The sequence below is a fragment of the Homo sapiens genome, chromosome 8, assembly GCF_000001405.40.
Source record: "Homo sapiens chromosome 8, GRCh38.p14 Primary Assembly".
In the NCBI taxonomy this organism is placed as follows: domain Eukaryota; kingdom Metazoa; phylum Chordata; class Mammalia; order Primates; family Hominidae; genus Homo; species Homo sapiens.
The window spans coordinates 73543059-73561647 of record NC_000008.11 but is presented as its reverse complement, the minus strand read 5'-3'; the positions used below and the strand labels follow the sequence as shown (position 1 = coordinate 73561647).

General features: G+C 36.7%; 1 protein-coding gene across 7 annotated transcripts in view; it reads left to right on the top strand.

Moving 5' to 3' along the window:
- Positions 1-18589, top strand: part of STAU2 (staufen double-stranded RNA binding protein 2) — a 327112-nt gene that overhangs the window by 185833 nt on the left and 122690 nt on the right. For 4 of the 7 annotated variants that reach the window (NM_001164383.2, NM_001164382.2, NM_001164381.2 and 1 more), the window contains one exon: positions 9329-9636. In NM_001164383.2, the coding sequence (NP_001157855.1) occupies positions 9329-9636 (308 nt within the window). Of the gene's footprint in view, positions 1-9328; positions 12048-18589 lie in introns of those variants that run through there. The other 3 variants (NM_001164384.2, NM_001164385.2, NM_014393.3) reach the window with 1 other exon arrangement.

Sequence of the window (18589 nt, the reverse complement as noted above, 5' to 3'; positions counted from 1 at the left end):
CTGCTGCGGTAGACATTTCAGTATGTGTTTCTTCCTGCTGAGAGATCAGGTCACTTTTGTCATATGTCAGACTTATATAATCCATTTTTTGGTGTTTTTCTGTCGTAGGGAAATCATAACTAATGGAGTTTTTCTGAGAAGAATCATAACCAAGAAGAACGATCTTTATTTTACGAGCAACATTTTAACCCCACTTAAATAAACTAAAAATTGAAGATGACTCATTATCCTCACAAGGTGCTCTCAAACATCATTTTCACAGCAACTATTTTGTCTTACTTGGTAGAAATAGTCACAGTTGTGTCTTTATTGAAAAGCTGAGCCTTGAAAAAAATTTCTTCTAAATAAGCCAACTAAGTGAAATCTTCCTTATTATTAAGATGAGTGGTGAATGCGCTTCTGGGGAATTCCTGAACTCCCCAATCACTTCCCTGCACCACACTGACTCTGAGTCATATACAATGTGCACTGCCCTTGTTGTGAAGTCAACCTATTTCAAACTATTTAGGGGCCCTTGGATCACTATTAATAACCCCTGTGCCAGACTGTTCTTTGATTTGCATGACTCACTTTGGGCTCCAGAATCTTCTTGTTAAAGAAAATTTCTGGCAAAAGTATAAGTTACTGCATTTGTGTAAGGTTTAAAAAAAAAAGATGAATGATGAATTTATTCACCATACCCAGGTTTATATTCTTTGTTATTAAATACTTTCCATTTGCCTGTTTTAAAGAAAAAATAGCAGCCAGTCCTGAATTTGAAAACTCACTCGCACTTTTATTTGACTAAGGTACAAGCTTTCCAAAGGCATTTCCCAGTTCATCATAAATTGATCTTTAAAACATTTTTGAAAAACCTTTATTGCTGTTATTTCTGTTCATTATTGGTGTTTTGAGGAATATGTATTATTTACTATTTTGTATTCCTCCTTCTTCCTCTTGGAGGTGTGCTGGATGCTATGTCATGACCTGGGATTCTGCCTTTTTGGGGGCAAGACTGGACTAAGTGCATTTTCCCGTTGGTACTGTGTTCACCAAAAGGCAAACATCTTCCTGAAAAGTTCTTTGTCAGTAATTTTATTCATAAACATTCACCAAATTAAGAACCCTTCACATACATCATTATGTTAAATGTAGCAGGAAAAAAAGGACCAATAAAATGCACAAATTAATAAAATCAGTGCTTCCGTTCAACTCTAAGGGTAAGAGCAAGGTTGATTTTCACCACTGTTCAGGTTATGCTTTTTGAGCACATTAAAATACATCATTTTGGCCAGGCGTGGTGGCTCACGCCTGTAATCCCAGCACTTTGGGAGGCCGAGGTGGGCGGATCACGAGGTCAGGAGATCGAGAACATCCTGGCTGACACGGTGAAACCCCGTCTCTACTAAAAATATAAAAAATTAGCCAGGCATGGTGGTGGGAGCCTGTAGTCCCAGCTACTCGGGAGGCTGAGTCAGGAGAATGGCGTGAACCCGGGAGGCAGAGCTTGCAGTGAGCCGAGATGGCGCCACTGCACTCCAGCCTGGGGGACAGAGCGAGACTCTGTCTCAAAAAAAAAAAAAAAAAAAAAAATCTGTTCAGTAATGACTCTTTTTTTAGTGTGTCTTTTTCGTTTCCAAGGTGATTCTGAAACTGATCTTAAGAAGAAACCTCTAACAAATTATTTACCTATTTTTTTATTTTTTCATTGTTTTGCTGTTAGCTAACATTTTCTCTTTTTAGTTTTCCACAAGAGTTTATATTTTGCATTGTTGATTTTTGATTTCATAAGTAGTATATATTTGGCTTAAAAATTAGGCAGAACTAAGGGTCTGAGGGCCTTATCTGGAAGACCAGATTTGCAGTGAGCTGTGTGTAAAAGAAGAGGTGGAGTCACTTACAAATACTACCTGTTCGATTTGATCCCAACAACAGGGCAGCAGGAAGGGGGATTTCTGTAGCTCACATCAGTCTAGTAGCTAAAGATCATGCCAAGGATGCATTCCACCTGTCCCTGACCTTCAGGGACATGACCATGGTGGTCCAGTAGGCTCCCTTGGGTCACATGTACTCTTAACTAATACGTGGCCTCAGGCTACCCTGGGAGAGAACAAGGTCCCGGCTATGAGGCCCACACTGTCATCAGGATCTCCCTTGCTTTCATGTAGCTAAAAGTCAAGCACCCAGAGCCTGGGGAGCCAGGGCCTGTGCATTAGGCAAAGGCCGTGAGCAAAGTTGTCAAGGAGCAGGCATTGCCAGTGCCAGCCCTGCTTATCCTCAGAGCTATATCTAGGAATGGTGCTGCCACCAGTCCTTCCCACTTTGGTGTCCCCATCACCACCCTGTTCTGGGGTCTCTATGTTGAGGGAGAGGCCCAAAGCAGCATAAAACGGTGCTTTCAAAAAAACTTTTAAAAGTGTAATAATGATAGACTCACAAGAAGTTATAAGAATGGTACAAAGAGGTTGCATGTACCCGTCACTCAGCTTCTTCCAGTGGTGATGTCTTATATAACTATAGTACATTTTCAAAACTAGGAAATTGTCATAATACAATGAACTAGACTACAGACCTTACTTAGAGCCTACCAGTTCTCATATAAATGATTTTTAAAAATCACTAGAGACAGATAATCATGCTGTTGTTCATAATTTTCTCACATTTCCTGTTTTGAACCAGAAGCCCCTGTTTCTAGTTCTTAAGAATTTTTAATTATAATTTTTTATTGTGAAAAACTCACTGTAGCAAAGTGGGCCTGAGTATTATTGGATATTTGGGTATTTATAAACAAATTTATAGTCCAACATTGTTGAGGCGTAAATTCAAGCTGGCAATGGAAACAAAGTTTTTTTTTTCAAAGCTTTTCTGTGAAAAATGAAAAGAAATTATTTGTTGTGAAATAGCTATGCCCATTCCAAGGACTTCCAGAGAAACTGGGAGTTCCAGTGGAGTGGCAGTAACCATTTGGATCAGTGGCATTATCTTTCTTGCTGCCTGGCTTGCTGTGTTTTAATACCTCTGATACCACTTGCTACTCACAAACACTTATCTTCTTCAGCATCTCTGAAAGAATCATGACATCAGTGATCATTGAAAGGCAAGGTTCTCCTAAGTTCGCTTATAAAACCTTTTAAGAGCTCTCCAATTCAAAAGTCCCTCTTCAACTCTTCAGTAAGAACTGGAGCTCCATAAAGATGCTCCAGGAAGATTTGTGTGCCAGAGGATTCATATACCCATCTGAAAGAAGCACAGATCTACTGAGCAAAAACATGTCAAGTGGGTACAATAGCCTGGTGTTAAGATATCACAGTCCCTGGCAACTTTAGACCTTTAAAATCATGTATAAACTCTGTATACTTCAGTGAGATTTTGGTGAGCTCATCTCTGGAACATCTAGGGACAACCATCATGACATGGGTCATCCTTGGAACCAATCTGGGCAAACCCCGGGCATTTACTTACTGGATTTAAGCCTTAGGGGTTTGGAGCTGGTGAGATGTTGCATTTAGTTTCCTACCTGTTCTTTTAGGAGGCTATTTAAGGTAATGGTTAAGTATTCAAACTCTAGAGGCAGACTGCCTGGAGTCAAATTCTAGCATTGCTGCTTATTATCCATATGACCTTGGGAGAGTTTCATATCTTCTCCATGCTTCAGTTTTTTTCATCTCTAATATAGGAAAATAATAATGCCCATTTCATATGGTTGTTATGGGAATTAAATGAGAAGTAAAGTACTAGAACAGTGCCCATGTTGTATCTGCATTGTAACTGTGTACTGTAGTTATAGACTGTACCAAGATGGGAGCATCAAAGGCAAAACCAGGGACAAAAGATAGATGATGGCAGAATGGGTTCAGGACCTCTTCAGATAAAGGGTGAATGAATATAATGGATGTTACAAGCCTGAGCGAGGGAAGTGTAGTGGTTGAAGTCCATGAGCAAAATTGAGGTCAAAGAAGGCACAGACCTAAAGTAGCTACATGAGAAAAAGTTTATCCTGAGCAGTAACCAAACAAAAATAAATTAACAATGAATTATTGTAGAGTGGCAATGATTATTTAGAGTAACTGAAACGTGTTGTGGGAGAAGTGTGGGAAAACAGTCACATCCTACTAATAGAAGTATGAACTGGGGTAGTTTTTTGGGAGAAACCTAATTAGCAAAATAAGGTCCTTAAATATGCATACCCTAAATTACTCTTTGATTCTACTTTTAGATCTTTATACTATTGAAAAGCGACTTAAATTTACAACAGGAAGATCCTAAGTGAATTAACACCCATCCAAATACTGTTACTGATGTTCAAGTTAAAAGTCATTCAGTTCTTGACCACATAAATCTATGTTTTTATGCTATTTCTATGACTAGTCTGTTAGTTGAACTCTGTAGAAAGTAATCTTTATTTGTGAAGAAAAGTCCACTTAGGCTTTACTGTAGAATAGGAGAGCCTGAACTCCACGTTCTTATGCTGTGAGGTAATGCCTCTCTTGAGTGTGGAGAGCATTTTTGTTGCTTTATAATATTGCTATTGGCAAACCCATTAGTCCTGTATAATAACAATACTGAAGTAATGCTGTTAAGTTTCTTGATTTTTTAAATTGAGTATAGAAGTTAGAATTATAACATTTAAGTTATTCTTTAAACTAAAATATATATAATGTTTATGCAGATAGTAAAAAACAAAAATCAGTAATATGACACTCCATTTGTCAAATTGGCAATTTTTTTTTACAACTTTATTGAGGTATAATTGAAGTATAATAAACTGCACATAATGTCTACAGTTTAATCAGTCTTGACATTTTCATCTCACCAAAAGATTTCTCATGCCCTTTTGCAATCTGTCACTCCCACCAGCTCCACTCCCCAGACAACCACTGACCTGCTTTCTGTTACTGTTGATAACTGGCAAAGATTTTTTTTTGAGACAGTTGCCTGGGCTGTAGTGCAGTGGCGTGATCTTGGCTCACTGGAACCTCCACCTCCCGGGTTCAAGCGATTCTCCTGCCTCAGCCTCCCAAGTAGCTGGGATTTCAGGCGCCTGCCACTACGTCCAGCTAATTTTTTGTATTTTTAGTAGAGACGGGGTTTCAACATGTTGGCCAGGCTGGTCTCGAACTCCTGACCTCGTGATTTGCCAGCTTCGGCCTCCCAAAGTGCTGGGATTACAGGCATGAGCCACAGCACCCAGCCTTAAGATTTTTTATAGTAATTTCCAATACCAAAATAGGAAACAAGATACTTTCATATATCTCTGTGGGCGTCTGATATTGGTACAGCTTCTTTGGAGGGCAATTTGTTAAGTGTCAAAAACTCTAAAATATCCTTTCAACTAGCAATTCCGCTTCTAACTTGAGGAAATAAATTTTCATGTGAATAAGGATTGAGTTACAAGAATGTTCATCACTGTGTTTATAATTGCAAAAAACTGGAGATAAATTAGATGTCTGATAATATGGAATTGTTTTAAGAAACAGTTCATATAATGAAATTTTATACTTTTAGTATTAGTTGTAGAAATATATTGTTTTATAAACAGTGACAGGATCATATTTTATTCCTATGTATTTAACTTGTTTTTTCAAGTAAACAACAACTAAAAAGTGCATAGATAAAACAGGATTAAAAACATATCTTTAAAGCAAAATGTTGAAAGTAATGTCCTCTGGCTGATGAGATTTATCTTAACTTTTTTCAGTACATAATGTTTTCTTGTAAAAAAATTTATTGAAATTTTTTCCTGATTATAAAAAAACTAACACATGTTAATGTAGAGAATTTGAAAGCTAACATAAAGGAATAAAGAAAATACATAAAATAGGATTGATATACAGTCATCCCTTGATATCCGTGAAGAATTGGTTTCAGGACACCTTATAGATACCAAAATCCACAGATGCTCAAGTCCGTGATAGAAAATGGCAATGGCATCATATTTGCATATAACCTATGCACATATTCCAGTATACTTAAATCTTCTCTAGATTACACAACATCAAATATTATATAAATGCTATGTAAATAGTTATTATATTGTATTAGTTTTAAATTTTGTATTTTTTTTTATTGTTGCATTATTTTTTATTGTGTGTGGGGTTTTTTGTTGTTGTTTTTGTTGTTGTTGTTTCTCTTTGCAAATGTTTTCTATCCACAGTTGGTTGAATCCAGGGATATGGGACTCATGCATGCGGAGGACTGTCTGTATTATTTTAAGCTATTTAAAGTGTTTTTAAAAAAACTTACAAAACTCTTTTATACTTAATGGCATCAGGATAAAGTTCCCTGGACCTTGGCCCCTGCGTGCCTCCACCTGCATTTGCAATTCTGACTCTGTATGCTCTTGTGATAAGGCATGGCCTGAGGTTTCCTAGAACACAAACCCTCCAGGTCCCTGCCCTTGCTCCTGCTGGCCATCTGCTCTCAGTCCTCTTCCTCCTGGACTGTATTCTCCTCATCCTTTGAAATTTACTGTCATCGTCATCTCCAGCAAGCCTTCCCTGAGCTTTTAGCACTTCTCCTTTCCCATTCCCACTGCTCTATACACCTGTCTCTAGTGAGACCCCTATCACATTGTATTATCCATTTTCGTTCCTCTCCTGATAGACTGAGCATGACTTGAGGTCAGGACAGTATTGGTTGGTGCGATGCCTGAAGCTTAACTAGCACAATAGCAGTTGGAGCTTAACTAAGAGAGTATGTGCATGTGTGTAACCGAACAATAGAAATAAAGATGTGTTGGGATCAAACAGCCTGGAGTATTGGATATATCTGTGTAACTGGAGCATGGGATCTTCATGAAATATTTCGTAGATGAAGATAGAGCGATAAGTAGGAGCCAGATTATTAAGGGCTTCCTAGGTTATCCTAAGGAGTTTGGGTTCTATAGTGTAACTGATAAACTGGTGAAAGACCTTTAAGTAAGAGAATGTTCTAGCCTTGGCAAGATGGTAGAATAGGAAGCCCTGGAACACAGCAATTCAACAATAATTTATAGGCAATTTTTCTTTGTGAGAAATCCAGAAACCAGTTAAGAGGCTCCTGTATGCCGGGTGAGCATGAAACCAGCCAGATCTTAATTGGCAGGGAAATTTAAGATACCCTCATGCCATAATCCCTCCTCACAGTGCAGGGCCATACAATCAGGACAACCACCCTCCACCCCCAGCTCCCAGCTTCTTTCTGCCTAGAAGGGGAAAGATGTATACCACGCATCCAATGCCTTAGCTTTTCTGGGGCTACCCAGAGGACTGGCTTCTGTCTGGCCAGTCTCAGAGTGCTGACAGGACATGGCATATTTTAGCAACCCCGGGGCCAATGAAGAAAGAGGTGGCTGGTGGTGGTGGTCACTGTAACCATCCCCTGCTCAGCCCAGCACAAAGCTAACTGTTGAAAAGCTTCAGCTTTCAGCTTTTTCCTGGAGAGGCAAAGAGGAGCACCATGTATCCAATGACCCAACTTATCTGGGAGTTGCCTGAAGAATTGGCTTCAGTCTTGCTTGTCTCAGAGCTCTGATGGGACTGAGACAAGCAAGGGACTGATGCCTGGGGACTGCCAAGAACAAAGAAAGTGGATTAGACTAGCATAAAAGTTTGAGAGGCCTCCAGAATCTCTGTCCAGGCTGATTGGTTAGGATCTTCTCCAGTATGAGGCCAGTTTGTGCAGACACAAACACAGAGAATCAAGGAAAAATGAAGAAACAGGAAAACATTTCCTAAATAAAGGAATGAGATAAAGCTCCAGAAACTGACCCTAATGAAATGGAGATATGTGATTTACCTGACAGAGAATTCAAAGTAATCCTTACAAACATTCCCACTGAGGTCTGGTGAACAATGCATGAAAAAAAGTGAGAATTTCAACAAAAAGAAAACTTTAAAAAGTAGCAAGCAGAAAGCATGGAGCTAAAAAATACCATAAACTGAAAAAGTTACCAGAGGGATTCAATAGCAGACAATGTCAAGCAGAAGAAAAGGTCATCAATCTCAAAGACAGGTCATTGGAAATGACTGAGTCAGAGGAGAGTTGGGCTAGCCTCCAGCATTTCCCAAAGTGTTAGCTGTTTTATTCATGCTATGTTAAAGGCTTGGACAAAAAGTAAACTCAGGAATCCTGAGTTAAACCAAGTCGAATAGATTTTTGTTCTTTGAGTTTTCTGATTCTTCACTATGCTAATGTGTATTTTTAATTTCACAAAAGGCATTTGTATTATGTAATTTGCATTATTTTCAGTTTTTATTTATGGAACCATTTTATTTGGGGACCATGTTATAGAACACATTTTGGGAAATGGACACTGAGAATACTAGCAGCAGAGAAACATTGAAAGCTTGAATCAGAAGGTTAGCATCAGGAGAGGAAGGGGCAAGAACAGGAAATTAAGTTGTGTCTCTCAGAGCACATTCTTTATGAGTGGTGACTTACCAATAATTTTAAAAGATAATATCATTTGAGAGTTATTGATACCTGATCAAAAGATAAGAATAAGCAGTTTGAAATGTGGTTTGAAACTTCTCTGAGACAAATGATAGTCAAAGGAAAGTGCTTCTCTAATATGGTTTAAGCTCCATCAACTAATGACATAGCCCCCACTCCTCTTGATTTCAGAACCTGTCCATGGCCTGGCTTGAATTAATGCACTAGATAATCCCTACAATGGTCATATTCTTGAGATGTTTGAGCAACACGATAACTACTTGCTTATGAGTAAATCAGAGATGGTTGCCAGGAGTCTAGGTTGGGTCATGAGCAGCCACATGGTAGTATGAGCAAAGCAAGTTAGAGACAGTGCTAGTTTTGAGATGATACCCATTTGCTTTTTTATGTGTTCGTGAGTTAGAGTTGTCTGTGGGACATCCTTGTGGAGGTGAGAGGATCACTAGGCTGTTGAATACATGCGTTTGTACCTCCAAAGAAATTTGGACTGATTCAGCCTTTATTTTACCTGATGTGCCTCAATTGCTGTATGTGTTGGGGTTTCATGCCTCTTTTATGAGATATAAAATATTAAATTGCAGGGTGAAGACACTGCACATTCCTGATTTTCTGCCCCATTATACTTCCACACATTCAGTTTCCCTTGTCCCTTTATAGCTTCACTACTACACATAAGTCCCATTGAAACCACTTTTTTTGGATGTTTTTAAACCTCTAATTTTAGGAAAATTGAAATAGACATTATTCACCTTTCAATAGAAGCTGCAACTGCCTCTACAGTATGACAAAGATACTTGTTTGGCAGTGTTTCTCATTTCTTTGTTACTACACCAAGTAAAGCCATTGAGTTAATAATGCTATGTTTCTATTTCGGTTATTTTAAGTGTAATAACAGTGTTCTTCATTTTATTTATAGCTCCAAAAGGAATTCTTCATTTGTCTCCTGATGTTTATCAAGAGATGGAAGCCAGCCGCCACAAAGTAATCTCTGGCACTACTCTAGGCTATTTGTCACCCAAAGATATGAACCAACCTTCAAGCTCTTTCTTCAGTATATCTCCCACATCGAATAGTTCAGCTACAATTGCCAGGGAACTCCTTATGAATGGAACATCTTCTACAGCTGAAGCCATAGGTTTAAAAGGAAGTTCTCCTACTCCCCCTTGTTCTCCAGTACAACCTTCAAAACAACTGGAATATTTAGCAAGGATTCAAGGCTTTCAGGTATGAATTAAAAGCAAAAACAAAAAACAAAACAATTCATTAGCCTCAGATTCTTCATCTGTATACATCACAAGGCTCATTCTTGCCTGCTAGTATGGCCTACATGCCACTTACGTTTTAAGTTATTTAGGAACACAAAGGACAGACAAAAAAGCCATATGCACATGCCTCATTTTCTCTTATTTTTGATCTATCTAGTAATTCTTTTGCTGCCTGTCTCTTCTCCATTTTCCTTCTTCTTTTTTAAGCATTTTTCATATTCTTCACTGTCTTCTATTTGGTCTTGATTAGGTGCATCTATCTCTTCGCTCTGTCTTCCACAAACAAAAATTCTGCCTTCAGACATTTGGTGTTAGTATTTCACACTCAGTTCTCCCTTTTTTTACATAAGGATTGAGTTTCTTTTTATGATGATTTTACCTTTATAGCAATTTTGAATTTTGCATTCTATTGCTAGTATTGATTCAGGTACACCATTAAGATACAACATTCTAGAAGTCTATTACCTTAGGAGTTAATTAAACATGATATTTGAAGAATAATGAAATGCTTTATAGTTGTTTGAGGCATAACAATGTGTATTTGTTTTACTGGATCATGTTTTGAACTGACTAGGGAGGGTAGCACCTGCCTCAGATAGTACCAACAATTCTGTTTCACTGGGTAGTCTAAAACTAGCTTATAGTTTAACTTAACTTGTTGTGTATGTGAATTTAGGGATGGAAACTTTTTTTCCCCTATTTATTCTTTGTTTCCTTCTGGGAAAAAACCCCACAAAAATCAGCACTCCTTTATGGATACATTGGAGCTTTTGAAAGAATTGTAAACTCTAGGAAGGGGAAATATCTGTGTCTTGATTTCTTAGTTGCCTTGAAAATCATGTACTGAACTGTAACCGCTAACTTGACTGGATGAACTAGTTTGCTTGTGTGTAGAGAGTGTATTGCTTCCTCAGATTTCACTGTTTTCATCTCCTTTTCCATCTTAGTCTTTATTCCTTAAGACCAAAAACTGTAATATCCTTTAGAAATGCTCTAGAAGATCTGTATTGTGTAGAATGATCATGTATTTATAAATATTTTACAAGTTTAGATTATAAAATGAAAAAGAAGGTCATGTGTTTTGGGGGGTATTTTGCATGTTCGGATTTTTTTTTCACTTCACCGAACCCTTCTGATTCTTTCAAACTATTGCCAGGTAGTTGTTAGTGTTTCTAATTGGACTCTTAATATGAACTTCAAGAAGCTGTTACCAGTTATCGGCTCTGTCATCTGAAATTTTAACCACTTAATTTAAAGTTACAATTTTAGAATTTGTTTTTGTTGTTTTACCTTAAGAAACACAATAAATCACTGTTTAAAAAAGATCTCAATTTATATAAAGTACTGGAAAAAAGCTAAGTAATTTTTAGTTCTATCTATAATCTCCGTAGGATGAATTAGAAATAAATTGTGATGAAAAGAAATTAACTGCTTATTTATGAATCTAATCATTTAGAAATGTCTGAGAGTAACACTGCATTCTTATAGAAACAAAGCACAAATTGCATTCAAGCTCTGAATTGATTTTTTGCTTGGAGCTGTTGTTACAGTAGCTGTAATTTTGCTACCAGAATGTCTTAATTTTTTAAATTTGTTTTTATTTCTAAGCTCTTGGCAATGACAATAATTATAATTTTAACATATCTTCACTGTAGTCAACATGTAGAGTCTGCTTCCCTCATTATTGCATTGCTAAGGCCTTTTTAAAAAGCTTATGCTTACATAATATACTCTTTTTTATGGACACGTTATATGTTTCCAAATCTGTGTATTGTGATTTTTACATACTAATGAATATAAACAGGTGATTTTAAAATATTACTGTGCTTCTTTGGTTGAATGAGCTGGTATTGATGTAAAATACTCTGTCATTGATGGACCACTACCTGCAGCTAAGCAGTGAGCAGAATCTCCGGGAAATGACTTAGTCTGGCCACATGCATAGCCCATCTTCATAATGTCGCAGCAGAAGGTTCTTTGTGGTTAAAAGTTTTAAAGCCTATTTCTTTATAGGTAACCCTCTCAGGTATATTTACCTGGTAGAAAAACATGTAGATTGTTTCTATTACTTAAATGTTTTAATTGGACTGTAGTTTAGAAATTACAGGACCAGCTTGTTACAGATTATACACTATTCTGTTACTTTTATTTCTGAAACTTAAAAACAATAAATTCTTTTTCTGTGTTTCTAGGTTAGAACTTTTTTATTTTATTGCACACTGAACAGATACTGTTGCTTATTGAATATTGTGTAAACCCTTCTTTGGCTTTCCTTGCCCATTGCAATTTGATTTAAGCCTACTAGAGCCATTGTATGTGACAGCTATATTGTATTACAAAGTAAAAATATATGAGTGTATTGAAAACAAAGTTGTTTTAACTTTTAATTTTGTTTCATCACCCAGTCTTTAATTTGAATTTATAAATTACAAAAAGCTACTTTGATCAACTGAATGTAGGTATCCAAGCTCAAATTCTTTTAAACCTACAAAATAGGTAAAATTATTATACAATTAAAGTTATTAATAAAACTGACTTAAGAGAGCAGAATGTGACCGAACACTTACACATTCTCAGCAGTTCTGTTATTCTTGTTTGGTCTCACCTAAAGTTTTTATCGTATTTTAGAATCGAACCTTTTGGATCTCTGTCAGAAATGAATGTTTATTTCTTTCAAGTTTTATCAAGTATTAATACGTTTTATTTATATTCTTTTAAATGTTTTATTCAGTAGTTCTGTGAACTTCAGACTTTGTTGTTCAGCCTAATCGTATGCTTCTGTAACTTCTACACATTTTATAAGAACTCATTCAAAGTTGTAGTCCTACCATAGTGTTTCAGGGTTCCTTGTTGTGTACACTTTTACTATAATGGCAAAATGTTTCAAAATCATTCAGCTTTTTAAAGAAACTTATTATGCAAAAGACACTCTTGAAATGCTGTGCATTTGAGCTGAAGTGAAAGAATTTGTTTCATGTTGTACTTTGCATTATTTTAAGTTTTCACATCTTTAATATGCTTTTCTATGCTAATTATATTAGAAATCTATAAATATAAGTGGTTTCTTTGTTTAAACTAGTCATTAAAAATTAGGTTGAAAATGAAAGTGGATTATTTTAGCAAATCGTCCCTTCTAGATGGATTTCATTTCAGTTTGCTATTCTGTGCCTCTCCTGTGAGCATCATCCACTGTAACAGTGTTGTTTGTGAAACCTTCCGAGTATAGTGTAACAAACTAGGTTTTTTCCCTCACATAAATAATATAAAGAAACACTTAGTTGGTGTTTTAGTTAAACTATAATTAGTTTATTGTCCAAAATCAGGGAGTGTTTTATGGAGGGGCATTTCATTATTGATCATAATCATGCCATTTCCAGCAAGATGAGATTGTCCACTTAAATTAAAATCTTCCTTTTCAAATATAATTCACGCTGAATACATTTCAACTCATATGCCTCCTTTTGTGGAGTTTAATATGATGATAGCAGGTTTTTATAGCCACAGGCTTCTTTTAAGTATTTATTTTTTAACAATATGACTTAGTATAGGTTATATTGGGATGGGGCTGGTGGAAGTGGGGGGGTGGTGGCTGGTCTCCCTGAGAATCTGAGAATCAACCTTTCACCTATTTATTCTTATCTCTCCTATACCTCATGTTTTCCAATCCATATAGTTATCATCAAGGTGGCTATTTGCAGCAGCTTTTTTTTTTTTTTTAGAATAAGGTATTCATTTTTGTTAGGAGATCAATACAAGTACAATTTTGTAAATTCCTCTTAGGAGAATATGGAGAAAGAAATAATGCATGTACATACACACCCACATTTAGGAATATAGTTGTCTCTTGGTATCTGCAGGAAGGATTGGTTCTAGGACCCCCAAAGATACCAAAGTTCATGGACGCTCAAGTCCCTTATATAAAATGTTGTAGTATTTACATATAACCTACACACATCCTCCCTTATACTTTAAATCATGTCTAGATGCCTTATAATACCTAATATAATGTAAATGCTATATAAATAATGGTTATACCATATTGCTTTTTTGTGGTTTTTTTTCAATTCTTTTTTAATATTTTTGATATTTGGATGCATAGCCCATGGATATGGAGGGCCCAACTGTGTGTTTTCCCTTATTTTTAATTTGTCATTGAAACATAACTTACTGTGTTGCCTCTGAGACCAAATGTTCATGTAGGCTATTAAACAAATGTATAAAACCATAATAAATTACTTAGACTACAATGAGCAAAACACATTTGTGGGTTTGGTCAGCAGATACTGCTCTGATTTGCCATTAAAATCTTAAAAATTCTTAAAAAGCTCTCTTGAATTTGACCTCTACTACCTTCCAAGGACCTTGGAAAGACTTAAGTATGTGTTAGAACTCTCTTGAAGGCTTGGTCTTCCTTTAGTGACATTAACACTCAGGTTTGTTATTCCAGTGGGCAGCCCCAGTTCATGCAAACTGACCTGTTGTGTCTGGTGTCCTTAGACTTTGATATGCAGGCCAAAGTCCAAGGGATATGCAAACATAACACACACCTGTACTTCCATAAAAACCAGCAGAATTGTAGATCAGCTCATTTTACTGAAATTTTAAACCCTGTAAAAAAAAAATACTATGTTTGAAGAAAGAAATCCTGGTGCATATAAAAACTACAATGAGTAACAGTAATACAGGTAAGAATCAAGCAGGCCTTGAGCAAAACAGTCCATTATTACTGCGTAAACTATGTTGCTATGATACTTATTTTGAGCCTTTATGCACCAGCACATACATAGTAAGACACACAAGATAGTTCAACAAAATCTAAGTAATATACAAACACTGTAAGAGCTTTTCCAACCAAAGAAACTTTAATGTAGATCTGAAATGAGCCATCATGATACAGAAAAAGATGATTATCATTTCGTGTCCTTTCCAAGTAGAACTATCTGATAACCTTTTCTGTTTGTATCAGAAGAGATTTCAACTCAACATGAAAATTCTACTACTTGGAATTATTTGAAAAATCAAGTATTTGAAGGAAAAAATTATTTTTCATCTAAAGATGCATTACATTTCCTTTTGCTAGAAACGATTGACAATGATGTAATTTTTCCTGACATATAATTAATTATGGTACTCTTCAGGTGGATGGCAGCTGTATACCTACACTCATTCCAAGTCATGTTGAAGTGAGTCCAGCATTTCCCTTTCTCCAGCATCCAGCTATATCTAAGGAGATTTTTTTTTCCCCACAAATGACAGTGGCTGAAATTTCATATGTATTGTTCTCTTCTCACCCAAGGCAACTCTTAAGAAAGAACAGTATGTGGAATGTTGCATGTAAAAGATTTTTGCATACTCAAAAAATTGCTCTGACATAACAGGGGCATGCATTTAGGGGATATATGGATAAACTAGGGAGGAAACTGACAGTTATTGATGGACTCACATATCCCATAGTGAAGTAGGCATTACATATATTATTTCAGAATACCTGGTATGTTTTTGCCTACAAATCTTTTATTTGATTTTGAAGAAAGCTATTGTATAATGTTTGAAGACCAGTCCCTGTAAGTAGGACTAATGTGTGGTGGTGGCCCATAGTCTTCTGGATATTGGTTTGTTTTTGTCATAGATTTCATTAATAAATTTATTTCTGCCCTCAACTATATATACAACTGAGTAAGCCATTTAAGAATTCTGACTCCTTGGCTGGGCATGGTGGCTCATGCCTGTAATCCCAGTACTTTGGGAGGCCAAGGCAGCCAGATCACTTGAGGTCAGGAGTTTGAGACCAACCTGGCCAACATGGTGAAACTCTGTCTCTACCAAAAAAAAAAAAAAAAAAAAAAAGAAAACCAAACAAAAATTAGCCAGGCATGGTGGCAGGCACCTGTAATCCCAGCTACTGGGAGACTGAGGCAGGAGAAGTGCTTGAACCAGGGAGGCGGAAGTGCAGTGAGCCAAGACCCCACCACTGCACTCCAGCTTGGATGACAGAGCAAGACCCTGTTTCAAAAAAATCAATAGGGCCAGGTGTGGTGGCTCATGCCTGTAATCCCTGCACTTTGGGAGGCCAAGGCGGGCGGATCACGAGGTCAGGAGATCGAAACCATCCTGGCTAACACGGTGAAACCCCGTCTCTACTAAAAATACAAAAAATTAGCCAGGCATGGTGGCGGGCGCCTGGAGTCCCAGCTACTAGGGAGGCTGAGGCAACAGAATGGTGTGAACCCAAGAGGCGGAGCTTGCAGTGAGCCAAGATTGCACCACTGGACTCCAGCCTGGGCGACAGTGTGAGACTCTGTCTCAAAAAATATATATTAAAAAAAAAAAAAAAAGAATTCTGACTCCTTTGAGATGGAAGGGACTTTAGATTTTATTCTAATGTAAAATTTTATATGTAAACACATTTGGGAATACATACATCAAACATCATATTAGTAATGTAGTTTACTTGTTTTTACTTGATTTTAAACCCTGACAGATTTTAGGTTCTAGAAAGTTCTGCCATCTTAATATAGTCACATCAAAAAGCAGATTTAACTGTCAGAGAAAACACATACTTGAAAAACTTCCAAATTTTTTTTTTATCTGTAGTATTATCTATTTTTTTAAAAGCATAAGAAAAGTACAGGCTGGATGAGGTGGCTCACACCTGTAATACAACCTGGACAACAGACAGAGCAAGACTCTGTCTCAAAATAAAGTCTAGAATCAAGTCCTAAAATGGAACATTTGAACCATTGCTGGAAAACAGTACTAGGTTTACAGTTTGAAAAACTCTTACTAAGGGAAAGATAGGTGGTAGATAGTATATTGTGAAGAGGTTTCCATAATTTCAGCATGTATATGAAGAATTAGATGGATATGAAGTTAATCTGCCCATAGAATGCCATCCCGTTGAACATTGGAACTGATTCAGCTGAAGCACAGGACATGGAACATTTGTTTGCTCACACTGGGCAGTACTCATTAAAGGCCTACAAATGCTGGGTAGCATGCTAAACTTGCTAAACATGCTAAACTTTGGACTCGGGGAGTTATGGTCAAGTTGGAGACTGACAGGCAAATAAAATCAATATGCAGAAGAAGATAACCCACGGCCACAAATCCTGTCTCCTGGGATCAGTGTTCAAACATTACACAATGGTCTTATAAAAATAGTTAAATGTTTGTAGCATGGTGCAAGAAATAATGTTTGTAATGCCTACCCCACATAATAAATGACATAGTAAGTATAACCTGATAAATGTTAACTCGAAGTGTGGTTAGTGATGTCAAGAATTGTGAATGGAAATGAACATTTCTGGCTGAAGGAATTAGGGAAGAGTTCATAGCAGAGGGAATATTTGAAATATGTTTTAAAGAATACTTCAGATTTTAAGGTGGATAAGAAAAGGAATTATAGGCAGAAGCATCAAAGCACTGAAGACATAAAAGGGCATGGTGTTTTAGAAAATAATTTAAAGTGGAAGTGGCTAGTGAGGAGGCTGAAAAAAATGTGTGTGTATTGTTGGGAGTTAGAATTTTTTTAGCCATTAGACAAAGACCACTGACTTATCTTTAAAAGAGATGTGACATGATTGGTTAACAGAAAGATAATTCTGTCAGCAGTGTACAAGATGAACTAGACAAGAAAGAGACAGACTTGATAATAGAAAGACCAATTAGAATGGTTTTTCATGAATCCAGGAAAGAAAGAATAAAGATTGAGTTAAGACAAAGCTGTTGGGCATGGAGGAGTGGATCTAGGGTACAGTTGTCTAAGGTTCAATTGAGAAAATTAAATGATCTCTTGTGCTGACTTCAGAGAGGATGCTTTCACTGGCCTGGTTAGGGTGGAAGCTGGATTTACATATGTTGAAAAGTAAGTAGAGACCATTTTAGGAGTAAGTGAGATAGTATGAGTGTGAGATGTTTAGGCAAAGTTTTATTTTTACTATGGATGAGATGAATAAACTTAGAGGAACTTAACAAGTTCCATTTTAAACGTGGAATTCGAATTGCTTGTGGGACATTCACATGGATTTGTCCAGTAGGCAGTTGAAATCGGTCTGGTGATCAGTAAGAGAACATGGTACATACAGATTTGAGAGTCATCAGTGTATAGATATAACTGAAGCCATAGAAACAGTTAATATTGCCCAGGGAGAATGGACAAAGGCCTACAAGAGATTCCAGAAGCATACTAACATGTAAGGGATTCATTTATTCATGAATTCAACCAGTGTGTATTGAGCACCTGCCATGGACCAGGTACACGACTTGGCACTGAGTATATAACATGAAAGTGATAGCCAGGGTTTCTGCCCTCAATGAGCTAACATCAGAATGGTAGTGTGGAAGAGGGGAGGGTTTGGTGTAGGTGCAAGGGCAGATAAACACATCTGAACACATACAATAAATTCAAATGGTGTTAAGCTCCTAATGTAACAGTTGCTTGGAAATTAGTTAATTGTGAGGTTACTTATGATTATGCAAAATATAAACCATGACTTAGTGTCTTCAGTTGTGTCAGAGATAACTACACTTAAGTGTTTTAATCAACCTTATTGATGTATAATTTACATGTGATAAAACACACCCATATTGTACAGTTTGATGAGTTTTGAAAAATGTATATAGTCACCAAAATGTATACTACCACCATAATCAAGATGGGACTCTTTATTGCAAAAGATTTGCCTCCGCCCTTGCCGCCGATTTTCCTCACCTCCAGACAACCACAAAATCCTTTCTGGCACTAAAAATTAGTTTTGTCTTTTCACTGATTTCATATAGGTGGAATTACACAGTATTCACAGTTTTGTATCTGGCATCTTTCACTCAGTATATTTTGAAATTCACGCATGTTCCATGTATCAGTAGTTTTTATTGCTAAGAATTAGTTTATTTTATGTATATATACCACAAAT